Consider the following 7,829-nt stretch of genomic DNA (forward strand, 5'->3'; position numbering starts at 1 on the left):
TTCTAGATGAGATTTGCATGGGGACACAGAGCCAAGCCATATCAGAAGGAGATTTGAGACAAGCCTAAGATTTGAGACCTGAGGCTGCTGGCTTTCAGGGAAGAACTAGGGAATAAGACAGCTGGAAGGATCCTTCTTGGGGTCAGAGTAAATATCAAGCAGGGACCTCAAACTGTTCCTTCACAGAAGCCACAATTTGACTGGATTCATTTGTAGAGCAATGTATGCCCCAGGACATTTTTTAAACCATACAGCAATCAGCAGCAATTACTGGAATTTAGCAGCTGCATGCGGTCACGGACAGAGGAAGAAAGCCTGCCACACCTCCATCATCCCAGGTAAGAGGGGCCACACCCAACAGTGCCGTGCCCCACCAGAAGCCACATCAGGAGCTAAATTACACCACTGGGGGCAGGGTGGAGAATTGACTTCTCTAAAATAATCCAGCCAATCACTAAGCAAATAAAGAGGCAAATAACAACAGCAACAATGGGAAAGGGGGAACAGTCAGTACCCAGAGTGGCTACAATGTATCATCCAAAATGTCCAGTTTCTAACCAGTGGGCACTAGGCTTAATACCTGGGTGACAAAATAATCTGTACAACAAACTCCCATGACACAAGTTTACCTATATAACAAACTTTCACCTGTACTATTTAACTTAAAGTTAAAAAATAAAAATAAAATATATAAAGTGTCCTGTTTCAACAGAAAGTTTTGAGGCAGCCAAAGAAAAAGGAAGACCCATACATCAGAAAACAACAGCAGGCAACACAAACTGCCAGATCTGTGGATTTAACAGAAGAAGACTTCAAAGAACCATTATAAATATGTTAACAAAGCTAAAGGAAAGTATGATAAAGATGTAAAGGAAGGTACGACGGCAATGTTGCATCAAAGAGAGAATGCCAGTAAAGAGACAGAAATTATCAAAAAGAACCAACTGGAATTTCTAGAAATGAAAAGTATAATACATGAAATAAAATATTCACTAGAGGGGTTTTACAGTACATTTTAATTTAGAGAAGAAAAAATTAAGTGAACTTGAAGACAGACTGCTACAGATAATATGTGTATTAGTTCATTTTCACATTGCTATAAAGAACTGCCCAAGACTGGGTAATTTATAAAGAAAAGCAGTTTAATTGACTCAGTTCCACATGGCTGGGAAGGCCTCAGGAAACTTACAAAAATGGTGGAAGGCAAAAGGCAAAGGCATATCTAATATGGCAGCATTCAAGACAGAGAGCAAATGAGTGAAGGGGGAAGACTCCCTTATAAAACCATCAGATCTCATGAGAACTCACTCACTATCACAAGAATAGCATGCGGGAAACCACCCCCAGGATCCAATCACCTCTCACCAGGTCCTGCCCTTGATACATTGCGATTATGGGAATTACAATTCAAGATGAGATTTGGGTGGGGACACACAGCCAAACCGTATCATTCCACCCCTGGCCCCTCCCAAATCTCATTTTTTTCACTTTTCAAGACACAATTATGCCTTCTCAACAGTTCCCCAAAGTCTTAATTCATTTCAGCATTAACTCAAAAGTCCAAATCCAAAGTCTAATCTGAGACAAGGCAAGTCCCTTTTGCCTATAAGCCTGTAAAATCAAAAGCAAGCTAGTTACTTCCTAGATACAATGGAGATACAGACATTGGGTAAATGTTCCTGCTTCAAATGGGAGAAACTGGCCAAAACAAAGGGGCTACAGGCCCCATGCAGGTCCAAAATCCAGTGAGGCACTCATCACATCTTAAAGCTCCAAAATAATCTCCTTTGACTCCATGTCTCACACAACCAGCTCGTGCTGATGCAAGAGATGGGCTCCTACCACCTTGGGCAGCTCCACCCCTGTGGCTTTGCAGGGTATGGCCCCCTGGCGCCAGCTGCTTTCATGGCTGGTATTGAGTGTCTGCAGCTTTTCCAGGCATATGGTGCAAACTGTCGGTGGATCTACCATTCTGGGATCTGAGGATGGTGGCCCTTTTTTCACAGTTACACTAGACAGTGCCCCAGAGGGGACTCTCTGTGGGGGCTCCAACCCCACATTTCCCTTCCATACTGGCCCAGCAGAGGTTCTCCATGAGTGCTCTGCCCCTGCAGCAAACTTCTTTCTGGACATCCAGGTGTTTCCATACATCTCTGAAATCTAGCCAGAGGTTCTCAAACCTCAATTCTTGACTTCGGTGCAGTCGTAGGACCAACACCAAGTGGAAGCAGCCAAGGATTGGGGCTTGCACACTCTGAAACAATGGCCTGAGCTGTACCTTGGTACCTTTTCCCCATGGCTGGAGCGGCTGGGAGACAGGGCACCAAGAACCAGGCTACACATAGCAAGGGAGCCCTGGATCTGGCTCATCTGACCCATTTTTTCCTCCGGGCCTCCAGGCCTGTGATGGGAGGGGCTGCCCCAAAGGTCTCTGACATGCCCTGGAGACAATTTCCCTATTGTCTTGATGATTAACATTTGGCTCCTTGCTACTTAACGCAAATTTCTGCAGCTGGCTTGAATTTCTCCCCCAAAAATAGCTTTTTCTTTTCTATTACTTTGTCAGGCTGCAAAGTTTCCAAACTTTGACGCCTGTTTCCCTTTTAACATAAGTTCTGTGAAAGGAAAATAAATGTTGGGACTCCAAAATCACTAAGCTAAATGGAAAAGTCAAGCTGGGAACTGCTTGGGGCAAACCTGAGAAGTGGAGGTTGCAGTGAGCCAAGATTGTGTCACTGCACTCCAGCCTGGGTGACAGAGCAACCGAATTTAGACACATGCGATGTGACCTCCAGGAGGAAGCACAGAGCTGTGCCCACTCCCCAGGGAATCAGGGTGTGTCATTCACCCAGCCCGCCAGTGTGTTCACCAACCAGGAAGCTCCACTAAGCTTCAGCATCCAGAGTTGTGACTGGGGTTTAAATAGGTACGCATAATTGGTTAAATAATTGGCCACATGACTGCACTCAGTCTCCAGTTCCTCTCTTATCCCCAGAAGTCTGGCAGCTGGAAAATCCCAACCCTCTAATTGCATGTTTGTCTTTCTGGTAACCACCCCCCATCCCGAGGCTATCTAGGGGCCCACTTCAAGTCACTTCATTAGCATAAGAGGACACTCTTCTCACTCAGGAAATCCCAAGAGTTTTTGAACCTCTGTGCCAGGAACCACAGACAAAAGATCAGATGTAATCTTTATTATACCAACCAAAGACAGGGAGATAATCTTGAAAGCTACAAGAGAAAAATGACCAATAGCTTATAAAGGAAGCCCCAATAAGATTAACAGCTGACTCTCAGTAAAAACAATGAATGCCGGAAGGCAGTGGAATAACACAATCAGAGCACTCAATGAAGAAAAAAAAATTCTCAACCAAAAATCCTATATCCAGCAAAGACCATCTTTCAAAAATGAAGGTAAAATACAGACTTTCCTAGATGAATAAATCTGAACTTCTTGTTAGCAAACCCACCTTATGAGAAACACTAAAGGAACTTCTTCAGCTGAAAACGAGGAACTCCATACAGCAACTCATATCCACATGAGAAAACAAAGTGCACCGGTAATGGTAATTATGTAATTATAAAATACAGTACAGATACATTCTTATTTCTTCCCAGAACTAGTCTGAAAAGCAATTGCATAGAATAGGCATATACTACATAGAAATGTAATGTGTATGTAATATATTTGCCAATAACACCACAAAAGATGAGGGTAGAAGCAAAGCTACATCAGGCTAAGAAATCGGCTACAGATGGTAAGATAATAAATGAAAATGTTGAATTTAAAAATATACACAATGCAAAAGAAAGCAGCAAAGGAACAAAATGAAGGCATGAGACATATGGAAAACAAAAAGGGAAATGGCAGATGTAAACCCAACCCTACTAATTCAATATTAAATGTAAATGGATTAAAACTCCAAGCAAAGGCAAATACTGTCACACTGGATTTTTAAAATACAATCCAACTAAATACTGCCTATAGGAGACACACTTTAGAATCAAAGATAAAAACTGACTGAAAGTGAAAGGAAGGAAACAGAGATATGCAAACAGCAAACACAACAAAGCTAAAGTGACTATGTAAACAAAAGAGAGTTTAAAAAATTTTTTTTAATGTTGCTAAAGAGAATTTCATCAAAATAAATGCAACAGCCCATCAGGAAGATATAACAATTAAAGACTTACATGTACATAGTAACAAGGCAACAAAATACAAGAAACAAAAATGGACAGACATAAAGGGAGAACTAGAAAAATCCAATATTCACAGAGATTTCACCATGCCACTTTCAATAATGGATAGAAGATTAACAACAGAAGATGTGGAAAAACACTACAAACTAATAAGACCTAACAGATAGTTACAGAACTCTCCAACAATAGAATGTACATTCTTCTCAAGTGCAAACAGATCAGTCTTCAGGACAGATCATATGCTAGGTGATAAAACAAACCTGGATATATTTAACAGGATAAAACTATTCAAAGTCCTTTCTTTGACCATAATGGAATGAAATTAGAAATGAGGCAGGAAAAACTCTCAAATATGTGGAAATTTTAAAACTCACTCTTAAATTACCAATGGGTCTAAGAAGGAAATCAGAAAATACTTGTAAACAAAGTGAAGACACAACATACCAAAAAACATGGGATTCAGTTAAAGCAAAGCTTAGGAGGAAATTTATAGCTGTAAATGTCTATAAAGAAAAAAAGATATCAAATCAATAACTTAAACTTCTATCTTAAGGCAGTGGAAAAAGAGCAAACTAAACCTAAAGGAAGCAAAAGGTAGGAAATCACAAAGATTAAAGCACAAATTAATCAATAGAGAATAACAGAAGAGAAATAAACAAAACCAAAATTTCGTTCTTTAAAAAAAAAAACAAAATTGGGGCCGGATGCAGTGGCTCACACCTGTAATCCCAGCAAATTGGAAGGCCACAGCAGGTGGATCACGAGGTGGAGACTGAGACCATCCTGGCCAACACAGTGAAACCCCTTCTCTACAACAACAACAACAACAAAAAAAAAAATGACTGGGCATGGTGGCACACACCTGTAGTGCCAGCTCCTTGGGAGGCTGAGACAGGAGAATCACTTGAACCCGGGAGGCGGAGGCTGCAGTGAGCCAAGATCGTGCTGCTGCACTCCAGCCTGGCAACAGAGCAAGACTCCATCTCAACAACAATAAAAAAAAATCAGCAAAATTGATAAATCTTGAAACTGACCAAGAAAAAAGAAGACTTAAATTACTGGAATCAGAAATGAAAGAGGAGACATTTCTATTGACCTTATATAAATCAAGAATATAAAGAAACATTGTCCATCAAAAAAAAAAAGGCAACTTAGAAGAAATGGACAGATTCCCACAAAGACACAAACTACCAAAACTGACTCAAGAAGAAACACAAAATCTGAATACATATATAACAAGTGAAGAGACCAGGTGCAGTGGTCTCATGCCTGTAATCTCAGCATTTTTGTAGGCAAAGGTGGGCAGATCACCTGAGGCCATGAATTTGAGAACAGCCTGGCCATGGCAAAACCCCATCTCTAATAAAAATACAAAAATTAGCTGGGCATGGTGGCATGTGCCTGTAATCCCAGCTACTCAGGAGGCTGAGGTGGGAGAATCACTTAAACCTGGGAAGTGGAGGTTGCAGTGAGCCAAGATTGTGACACTGCACTCCAGCCTGGGTGACAGAGCAAGATTTCACCTCAAAAAAAAAAAAAACAAGGTGGAGAAATTGAATTAGTAATCAAAAGGCTACCCAAAAAGAAAAGCTCAGGCCCAGATATGTTTGCTACTAAATCCTACCAACTATTTAAAGAATTAATACCAATTCTTCACACTATTTCAAAAAAAAAAAAATAGAAGAGCAAGGAACATTTTCTAACTCATTTTGTGAGGGCACTATTATACTGATACCAAAACTAGACAAAGACACCACGAGAAAAGGAAATTATAGACTAGTATCTCTTATGAATATGGACCAAAAAAACTTCCTCACCAAAATGCCACCAAACTGAATCCAAAAACATTAAAAAATGAAAAGAATTATGTACCATAATCAAGTGGGATTTATCTCAGGAAAGAAAGGTTAGCTCAACATCTGAAAATCCATTAATATAGCAAATGAATAAAAAAAATTATATAAGCATCTCAATATATGCAGAAAAAACATTTGGCAAAATCCAATACTCTTTCATGATAAAAACATTCAACAAAGTAGAAAAAGAAGGGAATTTCCTCAACCTAGTAATGGGTGTCTATGAAAATATCTCAGCTAACACAACATACTAAATGGTTAAAGACTGAAAGCTTGCCTCCCAAGAGCAGGAACAAGACAAGGAAGCCTATTCTTGCCTCTTCTATTCAACACCGTGCAGATTTCAGCCACAGCAATTAGACAAGAAAAGTAAAATGCATACAGAAAGGAAACAAAATGAAACTATCTCTATTTGCTGATAACATGATCTTTTGCATACAAAATATGAAGTAGTCCACTAAAAACCTATGTTAGAACTAATAAAAGAGTTCAACACAGTTACAGGACACATCATGAATACACGAAAATCAATTGCGTTCTTACACACCAGCAAGGAACAATCCAAAAGTGAAATTAAGAAAGCAATTCCAGTTACAATTACATCAAAATAATAAAATACTTAGGAATATGCTTAAAATGTTTAAATGATCTGAATAACTGGAAAACTACTCCACTGTCATGAATCAGAAGACATAACATTATTAAGATGGCAATACTCCCCAAACTGATCTACACATTCAATGAAACCCCTATCACAATACCAGCTGATTCTTTGTAAAAACTGATGAGCTGACTCTAAGATGCATACAAAATAACAGGGGATTCAAGCCAAAATAATCTTGAAAAAGAAGATCAAAGTAAGAGAACTCACACTTGCCATTTCAAACTTACCACAAAGCAACAGTAATAAAACAGTGTGGTACTAGCACATCAATGCAATCAGTGGCATTAATCAATGACAGATGAATGGAAAAGAACTAAGCGTCCAGAAATAAACCCATACATATAAGGTCAATTGATTTTCAAGAAGAGTGCCAAGACAATTCAATGGGGAAAAAATAATCTTTTCAACAAATGGCTGTGTGACAACTGGAAAGCCACATGTAAGAAAATGAAGTTGGATCTTCACACCTGCCTCCCACCAAGGGAACTGCCACCCACACAACCACAAAACTGGGGACAGGATGCTGAACGCAGACTCTAGATCCACATTTGCCTCAATGCAGGGACCAGGACACCACTGCCAAGTCTGTTGACCTCAGAAACACATGACCTTAGCTCTGTGTATGGAAACACGAGGAACCATGTGGCCACAAAACCACCCTGTGACTGCCGGATCCACATAAGCCAAGGAGCTTGAAGCCCTCTCTCCACTACCAGTCACCTCAGTGCCTCAGTGGGGATGCAGCCTTTCCCTGGGACACTGGGAAATGTCTATTTTTGCATTCCAGCTCTATAGGGGAAGGCCCACCCGAGAAGCAACGGGAACATGTGTTGAGTGTGCCAGTTTACCACCTCTCAGCCTCCTCCCACCCTGGTCCTCCAAGGAATGGCACCAACAGGCAGGAGAGTTTTCTTTCACGGGGAGGGCTACTTTAAAATTAAGATTCTCACTTTCTCAAATGAAGGAATTGGATCATGATGGTATTTATCCTGCAAAAGACAATCAGGAAAAGTCATACAATTCAGACTTTATTCCAATTCAGCTAATATGTATGATTAAATATTCCATCAATACTGGAGACACAGGTCAGGCTTCAGGGCTCCACTCAC

General features: G+C 40.3%; 1 protein-coding gene across 4 annotated transcripts in view; it reads right to left on the reverse strand.

The window, feature by feature from the left end:
• TDRP (testis development related protein) overlaps positions 1-7,829 on the reverse strand; it is a 55,835-nt gene that overhangs the window by 17,300 nt on the left and 30,706 nt on the right. The gene's annotated exons all lie outside the window — the stretch shown is intronic.

This window comes from Homo sapiens, chromosome 8 (genome assembly GCF_000001405.40).
Source record: "Homo sapiens chromosome 8, GRCh38.p14 Primary Assembly".
NCBI lineage: Eukaryota > Metazoa > Chordata > Mammalia > Primates > Hominidae > Homo > Homo sapiens.